The sequence below is a fragment of the Homo sapiens genome, chromosome 3 (genome assembly GCF_000001405.40).
Source record: "Homo sapiens chromosome 3, GRCh38.p14 Primary Assembly".
Taxonomy (NCBI): Eukaryota; Metazoa; Chordata; class Mammalia; order Primates; family Hominidae; genus Homo; species Homo sapiens.
The window spans coordinates 133,805,580-133,823,306 of record NC_000003.12 but is presented as its reverse complement, the minus strand read 5'-3'; the positions used below and the strand labels follow the sequence as shown (position 1 = coordinate 133,823,306).

Sequence of the window (17,727 nt, the reverse complement as noted above, 5' to 3'; positions counted from 1 at the left end):
AGCCTGGGCGACAGAGTGAGACTCTGTCTCGACAAAACAAAAAAACCCTTGAAACAATATATTCAAGTCAACAGAACATGGCCATGTGCCTCACACATCAGCATCATGGGAACACTGGCACTTCAGAGGCCAGTGGAAAAGTGGCAGTCCCGTTGGGGCTGCATGGCTGGCAGCTGACCACAAGCCCACACAGCGCTTAGGAGTCAAGTGCAGCAGTGATGGAGCTCACACTACTGAGAGAGCAGGGAAACCACACTGAAAGGGCACGTTTCTTAACCTCAGAATGGGGCTACTAGCCTCTAAAGCAGGAATTGCGTTTTGTTTAGTATTTCCATGGTCTGCTGCAAGGCGTGGCCTTTACCCAATGGATAAATGCGTACAAGGCTCTTGTGAGCAGTCAAGTTTCTCGAGGTTTACAGTTGAAGGGAAGTGGGATTGTTTTCCTGCGCATTTAAATGAAGGTAGGTGGGTGATCACCTTTCCTTAAATGTGTGAAGGGATGAGATAAAGAGATAGGCATCTTAATTGCCACTGATGGCCTTCAGGTGAGGACAGGCATGAGCCAACTGAAGCTTTGACAATTGTGCTGAACCCAAAACTTCAAAAACAAGAAAAAACATAGACTGGCTGAAATGATCTAAGTCAACAGAGCATGGCCAGCGCTTCATACAAGGCAGGACCACAGGGGAACACTGACAGCCCAGGAGGCACTGAGACAGAGGCAGTGGGAAGAAGTGACAGACCCCAGGGACTCCCCACCAACAGCAGCTGCTGTTGATTAGGAACCCCCAGTAGACTGTCAGGCACCTGGTAGTGGAGAGGCTACCAAGGCCCGGACTGGAGAGGAGCCAAAGGAAGAAACAGTGCAGTGCTTAGACCCCTCTGGGTCTGCCCGTGTCCATACCCACTAGGGAGATTCCATTCCAGAAGTGGACATATTCACCAACAGAGTGCCTGGGGCTCACTCATCACAGCTGCCCCTCCATGAGGGCATCTCACTGCAGCCTTAGCAGGGAACAGGGTCATTTGCATTAGGCAGCTGCTGTCCTAGGAGGTCTCGGTGTCCATACACTGCCATGTTCCCAAGGTGTTTCAAGCTCAAAAGTCTCATCTATGTCATACAGTCGTGCCTAGTTGGCCCGTCTCCAAGACCTGACATCCATCCTTCTACTCTGGCCACACCTGCCCATCTCATGAAATGGGCCTACTTTAGTCAAATGCCCTCAGGGCCACAAAAGGGCACCACCTGAGTGGAGAGAGCACATTTGACCTCCCATCAAAACCCTTCCCAGTTCCCAAAGACTAGTCACCATGACCTCATCCTGGCCCAAAGCCACAAGAACGGAATGCCTGCTACTAGTACAGGAGTAAGAAGCAAGGTCAGAGTTCCCATGCCTGCTGACTTGACCCTGTCAGAAAAACTCAGCAGGGTGTGTGCCCCAAGAGACTTTAAAAACAAAGTAAAGGCACACGTGACACTCCAGGCCAGATCATCTCTAGGGGTGCCATGCGACTGACAAAAGACTTATTAAGCATGCAGATTCCTGAGGCAATACCAGACTTGCTATTGAATCAAATTGTCTGAGAGTAGGGTCCTCAAATCAGTTTAACAAGCATCGCAGGTAATTCTGATGCCCACTAACATTTGAGACCAGTGTTCCAGATAGAATTATCCTTTTTTGGAAGACCTTCTTTAGGCCTTGAATCAAACTCAAACTTGCAGCCCTTCTTCAGTCACTTTTTCTGGTGTGCTGCTTCCTCCAATAAAGTAAGATATTAACCAGAAAAAAATAAAAGAGGCTGAGAGGGACACATGCCTCTAACAGAAGCATCAAGCCACTGACTTTTATTCCCATGAGCTCCTACTATGATGACATAACATGTCACATTTATTGCTCTTACCTACTTCCTAAGTTACTGCTTGCCTAATAAGGAAAAGGGCAAGAAATAAGAGTCCAAAAGACACTCAGAACACCAGCAGCAGCTTTCAAGTAAGGACTCAGGGTCAGGGTCTCACAACTCCTCCATTTCATGTTTCATTTACATTGTCTTCGTGCTCCAGCAGCAAGGCTGACATGTGCTTTGGGGTAGGAGCCTGGAGTATTTCTGCCAGATGGTCTGAGGTGACGTATACTCCTAGAGCCCAAGTGACCACCAGAAGGGACATGTGAGACAGCAGGCAGAGGCCATACATGGAGGATCACACTCCCTCAGACGTCATCAGCCCCATGCTTTATCCTTTGACTCCCCCTGATCCTCAAGGCCAGGTGGGGTGCCCCTGCTGCATGCTCCAGAGAACTGTGGGCCTCTCCTACCATGGCTCTCAATGCACTGTTCCATAACTGGCTTCTCCCCTGGACAGAGCCACCCTGGTCTCCTTGTAAGCTTTAGTTGGGCTTGTCCCTGAGTGTGTGGGGTAGGAATAGGAGTGTGTTCTTGTGTATGTTGCAATCTTTAGGCTCAGGAGACAAGGAGTTAGACCTGAGTCCTGACATGTGCACTCATTTGTACTCACCATTACATTCTATTTAATTGCTTTGAGCCAGACAGGCTGTTTTCTTTACCATGAAATATACTAATCATTCAAAAAAGCCTTGTGTTTAAGAAGACAGCAAAAAACATCACTTCAAAAAGGCAACTTTTTTTTTTTCTTGGCATCAATGAATATGCACTTCAGAAATCTACAGAGAACTTTTTTCACTTTGTATTTGTTCCACAGCATTCTAGCCAGGAGTACAAAATAGGAGCTCTTCAAGCAGCACATGAAGATGGCCCAGGAGCCTTCAGCCATCCAGAGCAGCAGAGCAGCACCTAAATCTCCACACACTTCCCAGTATAACCACTAAGAACACACTAGACCCTTGGCATTAGGGGATTTATCATTTCCAGTTCTATTATCTGGGAATGACTCCAAGGGTTTGTGACAAGCTTTTGAAACGTAAGTGCTAAGACGAGTGTGGACAAGTCACTGAGCTAATGAAGAATAGACCCACTGTCTGCTTGGCTCTGCTATTTTGTACCTGTCTTCACATGTGGGGAAACTTCATAACTGTGCCCACAAATCAGAGAAATTCGCAAAGGACTAGACAATGTATTGCCTGTGAACTTCAGAGGCAACTGGAAATAGTGCAACTGGAAATCAACTAGCTTCATACATAGGCGGATTTGTTTCCAGGGACCAAAAGCACAGAAGATAAGAAAACTTTTCAGGTGATGGCCATATTCTCATCATATCCTCTCTGTGTGGAGTCTGCCTGTTGTCACAAAAACCTTGACCCTACATCAAGTTACACCTTAACAAAGGGAAGATACAGGCATCAGATAAAAGGTACTTGTTTGAAAGGCAGCCATAAGGGAGAACTGAACTTAAAAAAAAAAAAAAAAAAAATTCCAAGCTGGTTTCAACAGTACTTTGTTTCCAGAACAAAGAAATGTTTCTAACCACATCTTGTACCCCTTCCTCATCAACTCCAGACTACCACAGACCTTTTTCCAAAACTGTGTGTCACACATCCAGGTCTTGTGCTTTAGAGCTGCCTCTCAGGCAATTTTAGCCAGCCATTTCTCCAAGTCCTGGATGTCAGCAGAGCCCACGTCCCCTCTTCCACCCTTGGCACTGCACTCCAGGAACTCCACTTTGAGGGGCAACTGTGAGAATTCAAACTCTTTGCCTTTCTTCCCCAGCTGAGCAGGGGCAGTGCTGGAACTGTCCAGTGTGCTGGGGGCAGCAGAACGGGTAACTCGTAAGGTGTTGCTGTGGGGCAAAAGGAAAGAAGTCAGGAGGCAAAATTTTTATACAGCAATTAAATCATATTAGTTTCTAAACATTTCAGCACTCATTTAAAACTTAACTATAGAATTGCCAATTATGCTATTAAGATTGTTGAATAATCCTTTGCATTTATAAGTCCCTCTCTTGGACAGAGAGGTGAGGTAGGTGGGGCGGGCTGGGGGGGTCAGACCTCACAGGGCTAGAAGGCAGGTCAGCAGTAGACCAGGTCACACCAACTTTCTTTCAGCCCAAGGCCCCCTTCTAAGAGGATCTACTGAATGAAGCCGTCTAAAAATATATTTTTAAAATACATGCTTTAAGTGTTATAAAAACATAAGTTTCTGAAAGTTAAGTGTGGGTAGATAGGGTATGTATTTTTATCTTGAGTCTATTTGGATATGGAGTTTAGAAATCCACCAACTCCAGATTCTCATATCTAACTAGGGCAGAATTACTATTATCCAACCTCTTTAACCACCAAAACCTTCCCAATGTAAGTCCCCTTACTGCCACCTGCTGGCCCTAATAAAGGGTGCATAAGCAACACTCATTTGTCGGCCTCCCCTTCCCCTTTCTGCTATCCAGAAGCAGAGGAATACATGCTGCCAATCTTCTTTCTTACAAAATAAAGCATTTCTTGTTCTGTAAAGTTGCTTCAAAATTAGTGAAGAATCCACAGGCAAAACTAAGCAATACCTTGTTTAGGAAGGAACACACACACACACACACACACACACACACACACACACTGTAAAAGTATTTTTAAAAAACAATACAAAACTGGATATTGCTGACCTCTTGAGGGAAAAGCTTTTGGGGAGAAACAGGGGCCTTCTAGGCATGGTGGTGAGTACATAGGTATTCATTTTAATATTTTTTAAGCTTAATGCATGTGACATATATACTATTATAAGTAAGATATTTTACAATAAAAATTTTTTAAGGAAAAAAGTAAAACATGTATTCAGCTTTTGCCACAAGGCCATGTAAATATAATATACCGTGTTATTGAGAGACTATGAAATGCCTCTAAGCTAACAGGGCCTAATTCTCATAAATCTGAGATTAAAATTAGTCAGATTCCGAATTTTAACTGATGTTAACCTTTACAATTTGTCAACATTTTGTTTCACTGCCTTTTAAGAAAGCATTGCCTTTCAATGCTTTTAAAAAAGGATTGGCTTCTGTATTGTTTTTCTCTAAGTCTATAGAGTGAAAAGCAAACAGCCTATGGAAAACATGTGTTTTAACCACGGGAGACTTGGACTGTACTGTTAAAAATAACCCAAGACTGATTCACAAATAACATTATGACAGTTTTGGCTTCCCCAAAACAATTCCCAACAATTTCAAGAGAATTTTTAGAAAAACCCAACCATCCAATTGTTCCAATGTCCTTATTAACCTAATGGCAGCAACAGATACAATCCAAGAGAGTGAGCATCAAGAGCACAGGAGGACAGGGTGATAAACTCGCAGCTCCAGACGGGAAAGGAACCACTGAAAATGGCATAGGCAGGGCTGGCAAAATTGTTCTGCAAAGAGCCAGAAATTAAATATTTTGTCGCATATTTTTCTTCTGTTTTTTACCTGCCCTTTAAAAATGTCGATTTACTCTTGGCTTGCAGGCCCAGGCAGGAGTTTGCCAATGCCCGAAGCTGACTAGATTCTACCAGACTCTAAGCTCCTGAGTACAGGAACACATTTCCTCCTACAGCTGCTCCCAACTGCAGTCTTGGCATCCACTAGATGCACTACAGGTGCTTCTTAAATGAATAAGGGAGTCAGTAAGTCATAGTGGGGAGAAAAGTTTCTAAAAGTTGAATTTATACAGTTTTTCCTCATCAGATCCTTTTCAAGGCCTTACACAAAAGCAATAAGAAAACATAACTTGCTTTACTATAAATGTTGATCATTTCTTCTACACCAGCTTTTGGCTAGCTCTTACAAATTGGCATAACGCAGAAGACATGCTAGATGCCTTAAAATTCAAAAGCTTATAGCTCAATTTACAAACCTTGAAACACTCAAAGCAGGATATATAATATTGCCAAGTATTTTAACAATCTAAGAAGCTATAATGTAGTATCAAAGACTTGTAGTCTTCCTCAGTGTTCTGTTCTTATTCTGTCAACAATAATTTCCAAAGTGGCTTTTAAATGTTTTAATTTCTTTTTTCCTGATTCTCAGTTTTTATTTTTTATTATTTACATGCATCCTTAAATACCACTTCACAGGCATTATTGAGTGGTGAACAAACACTTCCACTCACTGAAATAACACCGTTCTCAAGTTGGCATGTAAACTTTTTTAGCTTCTAAAACCTTTCAACTATAAATGATTTAGTAACAATGGTAAAATAAATTAAGTTTATGGTTTCAAAAAAATCTTCTTTCCATGAAATTTTAAAATATCTATAAGCACCCTAGTAAGTTTTTGTGATTCCATTATTTTGTAAATTATTTAACAAATATTTATCACACTAATCTTCAGTCTATAATTGTGATAATCACATAAAACCAAACAAAAGAAACATGAATATGCTGCTTACAGTCTAAGTGTTAAGATATATAATTAACCAACAGGCCTCTTTCACACTTACAGTTCTTTCTCCAGCTGCTGTTGAATTAACTTTGCTGATTTTGCCATTGCAATATCTGTAAAGAAATAAAGACACTGTTGTAGTTTAAACGAGAATGAGTTTTTTCCCCAAGACTTCTTACACAGAAGGAAAATTCCTATTTAAACCAGTAAGTTTTTCTCTTTTTTTAAAAAAAGACCTTTTATCACTAGTTCCTTCTCTATCAAAGTAAGCTTTATACTTGCACTAGGGGCTTTCCCAAGATAATGCTTATAAACATATTATGCTGGTGACCCTAAAACTGACTTTAGCTTTCCCTAAAGTTCTCCACACCTTATAGACCTTTCAATTCAAAACATATAAGTTTACTCAGTTTAACAGAAAGAAAACCTACCAGTGCTGTGATTATGAGAAGTGCCTTCACATGCCAAAAGACAGTGCCCTATCTGTCATTTTAAAGTAAACTTAGCATGTTTCCAATTGATCCTAAGACGGTATGTTTAAAGCATTAAGTGTACTAAAGGTAAGAAACAAGCTCTGGTTTGGCACAAAGCCCATGGCAAATAAACAATAACTCCCTTCCTTATATTCAATCAGGGAAATAAAGAGGTCAGGTAATGACGCTAATTGCATTCCCAATAAGGCATTATCAATATTATCTGGTCACTTCTGAGAAATGCCTTGAACTCTTCATAGAATCAGAATTTCAGATCTGGAAGAGACCTGAAGAGATCCACTAGTCTGTCTTATTGTACAGGTAACGGAACTGAAGCCCAGTTTTATTGGGGATTACTAGAAAAGTTTTCAATGGTTATCAGGTTAAAAGAAAACAACTTCAGCAAACTTCCCTTGATAAAATGTGCTGTACAGTAAACTTGTTTGAAAGCAGAAACTCCACCCTGCAAAACTGTGCATCTGATATCACATATTGTCAATCTGATGAACTTAACTTGGTAAAGTAAAATAATTTATAATCAGAAAAAACACTGTATCAAAGAAAAATCAGTTAGCAGTCACTTGGTTATCATTCCTTGGTCTTCTGGTTAGAAGACTGGTGAAAAGGTAGGAGTAGAAATAAATTTTAAGATTAAAAATCCTTCAATTTATAGTTCTTTACAGCAATTGTATCTCATCCTCAATAATAACAACTGTAAATAATGGAAATAATTCTTAGTAGCAGCAATCCCCAAAAAACTCAATTATTATTGCAAGAAAACATGATGGCACCTTGCTTATTGCAGGCTATTAAGAATGATGGTGTATTCTTCAGACCCATACTGTCAATGAGGACTTGATACAGAAACTCAGCCACATCTTTCACCTCTCGCTGGAATGCTGCACTATCCACAACAAACACAATAGCCCTGGAGGGAGAAAACAAGAAAAACTGGCATGTGAACGTGTAACAGGACATCATTATCTTGAAAAACTATCCTGAACTTCTTCAAAGTCAATCTTGGTGATTAACACTCAGCAGACACACATGCAGGTCTGTGCATATGTTATCATATAACATAAATCCTCATTTAACAAGGAACTATTGAGTGCTACTGTGTATCAATGACTGAAGCTGAAAAAAGACAGTAAGAAATGATGCCTGTCCTCCAAGACAAATCATCATATAGAGAACCATATGATAAATGCCAAGACAAAACTATGCACATGTGTAACAGGAATAAAGAGAAAGATCATTTAAATGAGACCAGGTCAAAGGCAACTTTAAGGAGAATGTAACAGTTGAGTTGAATCTTAGCTAGACCAAAAATTGGGGCACAGGCTGTCTGGAAAGTACAGGTTGAGTATCCCCAATCCAAAAATCCAAAGTCTAAAATCCAAAACACTTCTGGTTCCAAGCATTTTGGATAAGGGATACTCAGCCTACAGTATGTTCAAGCCACAAATACGTGAAACACATTCCCTGGGGAAGTCAAGGTAAGCTGGTACACAGGGAGATGGGGAAATGAAGGAGAACCAAGTCAGACAGTGAGGCGTGACACAATGACCTGTGGAGTTCATGCTTTTCTGTCTTATGAAGAATATTGGTGCCTAAATGGAAGACAAAGCAATCTTAGAGGGCGCTTGAACTAGAAGCACAGTGACCAGGTAGGGCCTGAACTAAGGCAGCCATAGTGGGACTCCTCATGTGACAGAAACAAAGAGATATCAAAGCTAAAGTGCAGCAGCCCAGGGAAACTGCAGACAACAGGTCTTAGGGGGCCGGGTGCGGTGGCTCACGCCTGTAATCCCAGCACTTTGGGGGGCCGAGACAGGCAGATCACTTGAGGTCAGGAGTTCGAGACAAGTCTGGGCAACATGATGAAACCCAATCTCTACTAAAAATATAACAATTAGCCAGATATGGTGGCGGGAGCCTGTAATCCCAGCTACTTGAGAGTCTGAGGCAGAAGAGTTACTTGAACCCAGAAGGCGAAGGTTGCAGTGAACTGAGATCATGCCACTGCACTCCAGCCTGGGTGACAAAGCGAAACTCCATCTCAAAGAAAACAAAAAAACAAAAAAACCGGCCAGGCGCGGTGGCTCACGCCTGTAATCCCAGCACTTTGGGAAGCCGAGGCGGGCGGATCACGAGGTCAGGAGATCGAGACCATCCTGGCTAACACGGCGAAACCCTGTCTCTCCTAAAAATACAAAAAATTAGCTTGGTGTGATGGCGGGTGCCTGTTGTCCCAGCTACTCAGGGGACTGAGGCAGGAGAATGGCGTAAACCTGGGAGGCAGAGCTTGCAGCGAGCCAAGATCGCGCCACTGCACTCCAGCCTGGGCAACAGAGCGAGACTCCGTCTCAAAAAAAAAAAAAAAAATACAAGCCTTATGGACAAGGGTTTGAATGCCCAGGTGGAGATAAGAGACATGCAATGGCCAACATGCAGCTGGGGAGCTAGAACTGAATGCCCTGCACAAAGCCTACAACTTAAAATAGTCTCAGGGAGGTCGGGGCTTGCAAAAAAAGTTCCCTTAGAAACAGCGGGCCTCCACTGCCTCACACAGATATAGGGTATGAATTTATACTCTCTCCAGGTGTAAGACCCCCAAGGGGAAAGGCTTACATAAAAATTGGGCCAGACTTATTGAAGCCCTATGGCCCCAACAGAAGGAACTATGAACCGCTTATGGAGCAAGGCTTTCATATCCTACGGGATTAAAGAACCACCACAATATCAATGATGTGTCACTCTTGAAGAAAGGTTCTGGAGCAAAAATTACAAGGCACAGAATAAAATAATTATGAGGGAGAATAACTGGTACCCCAAAGAGAATAATCAGCACCCCAAAACTAAGATAATAAAGCTATCTATAAAGTAAATGTTTAAAATTATTTAAGAAAATACTACAAACTACAATAAAAAATAGAATAGTATAAAAAGAAACAGGCTGGTTTGAAAAGGTAAGTATTTTAGACAAATATAGTAAATGATATTAATAAATCAATGGAAAAGTTAAGCAGAGATCATGCTCAGCTGAAAATAATGTAATAAACTAGAAAACAAATCTGAGGGAATCTTACAATATGCGAAGTAGAAAGATCTGGAAGATACGATAGAGAGGAAACAAGAAAGGCAAAAATAATAAGGTTCAATAACATTCATAAGAATTCCAGAGTGTGAGAAATGATCATGGGGAAACAGCACTACCTGGAGAAACGATGGTGAGAATTTTCCAAAACTGAGGAGAATCTTTGGTTTGGAATAGCACAACTGAATTCCAAGAATGATAAAGCTAAATCCATCCTTGAACAGAAGAAAATCTATCCCTGGATAGAAGGTCAAATCAGGCAGACTTACTACAGTGAAATGACAATTAGACTGACTGGCAAAAACATTCTCATCTGCAACAGATGGATGAGGTCAGGAGTGATGCGGCTGCCACCCAGGACTCTGCACTCAGCTAAAAGAGACATTCCAAAATGCTGGCCAAATAGAGTTACAAATGAACAAAGACTGAAAACATTTGACTACTCATCACCCTCTCTGGAAACACTTCTAAAAGATATACTCAGTGAGGGAAAACTGAATCTAAAGGGAAGAAGTAAAATTCAAGAAGCAATGGGGAGCAAAAGACCATAAGCATCCTGGTAATTCTCATCACTGAATGTAAGAGGAAAAAAAAGTATGGATGGGGGTTAAAAAGGAGCATAAATAAAAGGAAGATGTGAGGAAGATGAAAGTTAAAGTGTTTAAGGTTCAGGAAAAGGAAACTGATATTATTGGATTCAGACAATCAAATAGGCAATGTTTAAAAGATGGGGGAGGGGAACCATGATAAGAACAGCAACAGCATATGTTCAAATCAGGAGAGGGAAAATAGCCACTAGGGAAACTTGGCGAAGCCAGAAAGTAGGATTAAAAAAAAGTCACATACCAATATAGTAAATGTCTTTTCAACTTGCATGTTATCATGATTATAATTTATTTGAACTAAGTTTTATCTTCATATTTTGCATGTTTTATTTACCCAAAATACATGAATCACAGAGTAGTTATACTGCAAATCATAAAATATTTAGAACTGGCAATAGAAAAAGAAAAAACATTTAATTGGAAATAAAAACCCAATTATGGCAAAATTTACCAGCTCTAGATTTGTCTCAATTGTCCAAGGAATTTTCTTATCTGTGACAAATTGTTCATCACCACCATCTTGTGGGCAAAGATGCAATAATGAAATTTCAGTCTAGACATCTTCAATAAAAGGCAAAGAATCTACTACTTCATTCCATCAAAACTAAAATGCTGCCAATTAAAGACATTATTTTAGGGACCGCTAAGAGAAAATACTGCCAATTAAACTATGACACCATCAACTATAAGATATATTCTAAATTCAGAGATATTAAAATGTGTCTTCAAATCAGTGAAATGTGGCATACTGATTTTCCTCTTCAGTTCTTATTAATGTTAGAGACCAAAAAAGAAGCATCTGAAACTGCAGCATAAGACTTTTTAGGGAAGAACTTAAGAGTCAGTAACACCAGAGCACACACTAAAAGAAATATGGAAATATTGTTCTGTACTTCTTGAAACATCAATTTTACGTAATTTGAGAATATATATGGGCCAGGTGCAGTGGCTCACGCCTGTAATTCCAGCACTTTGGGAGGCTGAGGCCAGCGGATCATGAGGTCAGGAGTTCGAGACAAGCCTGGCCAACATGGTGAAACCCCATCTCTACTAAAATTATGAAAAATTAGCAGGGTGTGGTGGTGCGTGCCTGTAATCCCAGCTACTCAGGAGGCTGAGGCAGGAGAATCACTTGAACCCAGGAGGTGGAGGTTGCAGTGAGCCGAGATCACACCACTGCACTCCAGCCAGGACAACAGAGTGAGACTCCATCTCAAAAAAAAAAAACAAAAAAACACTATATATATAAATGATGTTGGCATTTAAAAACTGCTAGGATTCATCCCAGCTTTAAAATTCTTTTTTCAGATTTTAATAGTCATATACATTATTAAATTCACCTTCAGAATAAATGCAAACATTTAGTAACAATGACAAGAAGGGTTAACATTTCCTAAACACTAAAAAACACTTTTTAAGCATTTTAATCCCATAAAATCCTCATCATCCAGGTGAAGGTGGACTTGCAACCCAGAACTGGCTGACCCCAAGGTCACCTCAAGGTCTACCACAGGATACCATGCTGCCTCCCAAACACCACCAGAGCAAATCACATGAGTGGCTTTGATATACAGATACAGACCTAGACAAGCCCACTTCACTTCTTTCCTTCTTACCTGGCTGAAGACTTAAACCGCTCTAAGAACTGAAGCCTCAAACTCTCATGGCCGGGAAGGTCAATCAAGGTCAGACTATTGCCCTGGGGATGGCAGCAATAACATTAACGTTTCAATACAGTTCCACGTTCACAATATAAACCTTTAGTATCATATATTGGCTACCAAACTGGTACCTAATTAACCAAACAAATGTTCACAAAGCATCTTCTACTCATAAAACACTAGTCAACGTTCTGGGGATGTAACAGTGGCCAAAGACACGGTTCCTGATCTGGCAAAATTTATGAGAAAGGTGAACATAATGTAAAATTACACATAAATATAAAATGAGAACACTGATAAATGTTTTGAGGGTACAGGAAAAACCTGTCTGGGGGAGTCAGGGAAGCATGATCTACCTGAGGCTTGGGAGATAAACCAGTGTGAGTATAGCAAAGTAGGAGTACTGTATGAGTATAAGCAAAAATGTGAAAACAGTAACAAGTACTCATAAACTAATAATGTAATATAAGAACTTACAATTTTTCATAGAGCATATTACTCTTACTGGGATCTCCAATCTTTATAACAAAGTACACTTTTATCATTTCCACCCTTAATCTAATTATTTAAATATTTATCTTCCAGACATATAATTTACTTGTTCCAACTCCGTCAGCATTTGTGTCAATTCCTGAGCCCCTACTGAGCAAATCTACGATGCACCCTAATAAGTTCTATTCACCATGCCAGGCTGCCATTCCTGAATATAAGGTCAAGGCCTGGAATGGTGAATAAAGTTTATATTCAGTGTAAACGTGGCTGTGCTCAACAATAAGACTCTTAGATGTGGCCTGGTACATGCAGCAGACCATCATTTCTTACATGTTCTACATTATCCACAGCCAACCATACCCACAGTTCAGAAGCAGGCAATCAGTATCCTGCACAGATTTAACACAATTCCAGCTGGGTTTATTATGACCTTACCTTTCACATAGCCTGTGCATTTCTTTATAGACAAATATGTTTTTTATTAGTCCCTCTCTTTTTTTTTTAAGTACTGTTAAGAGTCTGGAGATCCCAGGTTGGGACTTAACTGCTCCATTTCAAAAGCAGCACTATACCACACACCCTAAGCAATTTGGAAGATACATTACTAGGTATATTACTATCTAAAGAGATTAGATCGAAAACGTAAGGGGGTAGGAGAAAGAGTGAAGAGGGAAGGGAAAAATGCTCTATATATTCAGTAGAAATATTGATAGAATAGAAATATAGTAGAAATATAGAATAACAGAAGCCACATATGTAATTTTAAATATTCCAGTAACCATAATAAAAAAGTAAAAAGAAATTGGTAAAATTAATTTTAAGTTATTTAATCTAATATATCCAAAATATTATCTTTTAAAATGTAATAAAAAAAGAAATTATTAATGATACTTTACGTTCTTTTTTTCCATACTAAGTCTTCAAGATCTGGTGTGTACTTCACACTTACAGCATGCCTCAATTTGGACTAGTCCTAGTTTAGGTGCTCAACAGTCACATGTGGCCAGTGGCTACATATTAGAAGGTACAGATTTAAAGCATATCCTGGAGTATCCTAAGTTAAAAATCTAGTGCAGGTACTAGATGATCTTGCAAACCTGGAATTTCAAAATCTGAATCCTTGGGAGTTTAAAAAGGTCTGGGCCACAAAGAGTGTCATCATTGAAAAAAAAAACAAAGATATCGCTAAGATATTTAAAAACATGTCCCTTTATTTTTCTTTACAATCTTTAATTCTGGAGGCATGAGAAAGGGGAAAGAAGACAAAGAGAAGAAGAAAAGGTCTCAAACCACAATTCTAATTCATCCATCTATCCATCCACATCCTCCAACGAGCCCTCACTCCACTCACTCACCGAAACTTATTACATGGCTGGGTGCAGTGGCTCACGCCTGTAATCCCAGCAATTTGGGAAGCTGAGGTGGGCGGATCACTTGAGGTCAGGAGTTCAAGACCAGCCTGGCCAACATGGTGAAACCCCATCTCTACTAAAAATACAAAAATTAGCCAGGCATGGTGGTGGGCGCCTGTAATCCCAGCTACTCAGGAGGCTGAGGCAGGAGAATCGCTTCAACTCGGGAGGCAGAGGTTGCAGTGAGCCAAGATCATGCCACTGCACTCCAGCCTGGGCAACAGAGTGAGACTCCTGTCTCAAAAACAAACAAACAAACTTATGCATTACAATCGGTTTGGTAGTCACTGTCTACATTCTGAAGTTACAGAGGTATGTAAAATGTCTTTCCCATGATTCCTTATATTTTTTTTTTTTTTTTGAGACTTAGTCTCGCTCTATTGCCCAGGCTGGAGTGCAGTGGCGCAATCTTGGCTCACTGCCACCTCCACCTCCCGGGTTAAAATGATTCTCATGCCTCAGCCTCCCGAGTAGCTGGGTTACAGGCGCCCACCACCACACCCGGCTAATTTTTGTATTTTTAGTAGAGACAGGATTTCATCATGTTGGCCAGGCTGGTCTTGAACTCCTGACCTCAAGTGATCGGCCTACCTTGGTCTCCCAAAGTGCTGGGATTACAGGCGTGAGCCACCAAGCCAGGCCCCATGATTCCTTATATTTGAAATACACTCATATATACTCTGTAAGATATCCATTGCAGCACTGTTTGTAAAAGCAAAGGTTATAATAACAAAACTAAATGTCTATTAACACGGTCCAGATTAAGTAAGAATTTAATTTTATGGTATAGCAACAGAGTGGAGTACTATGCAGCTCATAAACCAACCAGATGGTACTATGTATACAAATGTAGGACAATAAGAAAAGCCCAAGTTGTATCAGCCGTATGAGAAAAATAATGGGCAGAACAGCATTTAAAAAAAAACAACAATAAAGGATATACAGACATGTTTGTATATGCACAGAACATCCGGAAGACTACATACAAAAAAAAGTAAGTCACTGCTTCTGAGGAGAAAACTAGGTAGTGGGGAAAGGAAAGGAAAAATTACTTTTCACCAAATATCTTTTCTAACCTTTTGAATTTTTGTCCCATGTGCATGTATTACCTATTCAAAACTTAAAAGGTTTAATGCCCACTCTTAAGAACTCATTGTAAAGTTGGAAAGAAGACACAGAAACAAAAAATAAGAATAAAATGTGATATAACATTACTGTACATTAAGGTACAACAATGCAGAGGAGGGCATGATTAAATCTACTGTACAGATTGTCAAGAGAATTTGTCACAAAGAATATGTTTCTCCATAAAAATAAGCTACAAATGGTACTTACATCCTCAGATGAACTCATCCTAAAAATGTCCTTAACTGACACACCACAGTAAAGTAAGACTGTCAGACTCCAAAACTCCACAAACATCTTACCCTGTTATTGTTGACTCTGTATACAGCACAGCTGTCAGTAATGGACGTCTGAGTGTCTCTATAAAGGCCTGTTAACAACTGTAAAAAAAACAAGATGGGTGATATTCAACATTTTAATAGCACACCTAAATTGAGTTATATTATTCTAAGTCTCCCAGGTGTAAGGTTAAGTAAATGAATGCTGCTTCCGACAGGTGAAAAAGACGATATTGATTTTTTTTACCTGTAGAAAAAAATCTAATTAATTGCATATTTTACTCCTCAGTGGAATAAAAACAACATTATTCTCAAAAGACAGTTAGTGGCCAAATTTGCCAAGCTTCTGTAAAGATTTTTAACCAACAAAAATGATTTGAAGCCTGGGCAACATGGCAAAATCTCATCTCTACAAAAAATATAAAAAATCAGCCGGGCGTAGTGTTGCACGCCTGTAGTCCCAGCTACTCGGAGGCTGAGGTGGGAGAATCATCTGAGTCCCAGAGGTCAAGGCTGCAATGAGCAGAGATCTCGCCACTGCACTCCAGCCTGGGCATTGGAGTGAGACACTCCCTCAAAAAAAAAAAAAAAAAAAAAATGGAGGTATTTCTTTAATGGAAGGGAAATAATTTATACTCTCAAAAAGAAGAGTTAAAAAGCAGAAAACCTCTCCTATTCACCACATTAAAATACACTGTTAAAAATACTAAATGTATTAAAAATAAATATTAGTAAAAAGAAGCCTAACTAGCCCACTATGTCAAAGAAGGATCACCCTGTGAAAAAGTGTCTTCGATAAACTGTCCTAAGAATTTGTTAACGAAGGAATTATAAACTGTAGGACACTAGCTTCTATGCCTTCTGCTATTCTGGAATGAAACTAATTAAATAAAATCCTTGAATGTGATAAAGACTAAATATCAGCATCTGGCAAGGGCAAACAGAAAAAAAAAAGGAGAAATGACCAATATTTCTCAATTATGGGTTTCTACGAGTCTTTTTGTTCTCCCAAGTAAGTCAAGAATTAACTTCCAAATTTAACAGCATCAGCTTCTTTTACAAAATAAACCGTGAGATGACAGGAATACTGGGATCTATAAAATTTTCTATTAAGCTTAACAGGGGTGTCAATGAAATCATTTACCCTGACAAAGAGCAACGTTTTCCCGGAATCACAAAGGCCAACAAGAAGAACAGCTCTCTGACTGCTCCTTCTGCTCCGGATTAACTTCCAGAAGACTGTGGAATAGACAGAGAAAAACAACAAAAATTACGCCTTGGGAATCAGTATATGTGCATGGCTGGGGTGGGGAAATTCACAGAAGTCTGTGACGAAACACCTCATTCACCTGGAACTGACTTTTATCATAATGGTTACTATTGCTGTTGTTAGGGATCCACTGAGAGCCAGGCACTGTCAACTGTCAACTTTTCTTTGCAGTCCTTACTCTGACTGGGACTCAGGTGCTATCTCACTACCTTGGTATCCCAGCGCCCGCACGCAAACACGGGAGGCTGAAAGTTGGTGTCAAGACCCTGAGTCTTTGCAGTGAGAACAGCGGAAGGCGAGGAACAGCGCGCTCAAGCGTAACAGGGCAGATGACGAAGAGCAATCTGCGCCCCAAGGACCAGGACGTTAACTCCGGGGGTTGCCCGGCATCCCCCTTAACGCCCAGCTGCTGCCGCTGCTTCAGGAGAGAGGGTGGGGTGTAGACTGGGTGGGTCTCACCCTCCTGATGCCCTCAAGGCGCCCTCTCAGCCCCGCGTCCCCGGCCTGCAGCGGTGCAGCCAAAGCCCGGACCTCTGCCCGCCCCAAACCCGCCATGACCACCGGCCGCCTTTTACCTAGCGTCAGCAGCACCGCAAGAACCGCCACCACTACTGACAACAGCGTTGGGTCCGTCTGCTGCAGCTCCTGCCGCAAGGTGTCTAGGTAGGGCTGGAAGGTGCCCCCGGCACCGCCGCCATCTGCCACCCGGCGCGAGTCCGCGGAAGCCATGGATGAGACGCGTGGTCCCCGGTACAGCAAAAGCGACGTGGCCCTGCACTCTGCGCAGGCGCGGGGAGCAGAGCCTCACGCGAATGGTGGTTCCTAAGCCATAGTCTCTCCCTCAGCCGCGGCGATCCCCCAAGTGCTTGATGGGAGTTGTAGTTCTCTGGGACTCCGTCCTCCTACAGAACGATAGGGGCAGACAGGTTATTTGTCGAGGGACACACACATCTTTTAAGAGATGAGTCAGTCGTCGTCACCTACGTTATGACTGTTGA

The 17,727-nt window shown here is 41.0% G+C and overlaps 1 protein-coding gene across 3 annotated transcripts in view, besides 4 other annotated features; it reads right to left on the bottom strand.

Annotated features, from left to right (window-relative positions):
* The window catches only part of SRPRB (SRP receptor subunit beta), a 44,552-nt gene that overhangs the window by 5,268 nt on the left and 21,557 nt on the right, over nucleotides 1–17,727 (bottom strand). The window contains exons 1-7 of one of the 3 annotated variants that reach the window (NR_163491.1): nucleotides 17,305–17,492; nucleotides 16,604–16,698; nucleotides 15,484–15,561; nucleotides 12,108–12,190; nucleotides 7,581–7,717; nucleotides 6,375–6,429; nucleotides 3,487–3,754 (exon numbers count right to left, since the gene is read on the bottom strand). Coding sequence is in view for 2 of the 3 variants with exons in the window: in NM_021203.4 (NP_067026.3) it covers nucleotides 3,541–3,754; nucleotides 6,375–6,429; nucleotides 7,581–7,717; nucleotides 12,108–12,190; nucleotides 15,484–15,561; nucleotides 16,604–16,698; nucleotides 17,305–17,458 (816 nt within the window). In the remaining variant the exon portion in view is untranslated. Of the gene's footprint in view, nucleotides 1–1,814; nucleotides 3,755–6,374; nucleotides 6,430–7,580; nucleotides 7,718–12,107; nucleotides 12,191–15,483; nucleotides 15,562–16,603; nucleotides 16,699–17,304; nucleotides 17,632–17,727 lie in introns of those variants that run through there. The other 2 variants (NM_021203.4, NM_001379313.1) reach the window with 2 other exon arrangements.
* Nucleotides 16,931–17,040: an enhancer, noted in NCBI's record as "active region_20559". NCBI's record gives its function as "activates an Ori minimal core promoter by ATAC-STARR-seq in GM12878 lymphoblastoid cells {active_cell/tissue: GM12878}" and the evidence as "EXISTENCE:reporter gene assay evidence [ECO:0000049][PMID:35858748]".
* Nucleotides 17,071–17,120: an enhancer, noted in NCBI's record as "active region_20558". NCBI's record gives its function as "activates an Ori minimal core promoter by ATAC-STARR-seq in GM12878 lymphoblastoid cells {active_cell/tissue: GM12878}" and the evidence as "EXISTENCE:reporter gene assay evidence [ECO:0000049][PMID:35858748]".
* Nucleotides 17,231–17,440: an enhancer, noted in NCBI's record as "active region_20557". NCBI's record gives its function as "activates an Ori minimal core promoter by ATAC-STARR-seq in GM12878 lymphoblastoid cells {active_cell/tissue: GM12878}" and the evidence as "EXISTENCE:reporter gene assay evidence [ECO:0000049][PMID:35858748]".
* Nucleotides 17,581–17,640: an enhancer, noted in NCBI's record as "active region_20556". NCBI's record gives its function as "activates an Ori minimal core promoter by ATAC-STARR-seq in GM12878 lymphoblastoid cells {active_cell/tissue: GM12878}" and the evidence as "EXISTENCE:reporter gene assay evidence [ECO:0000049][PMID:35858748]".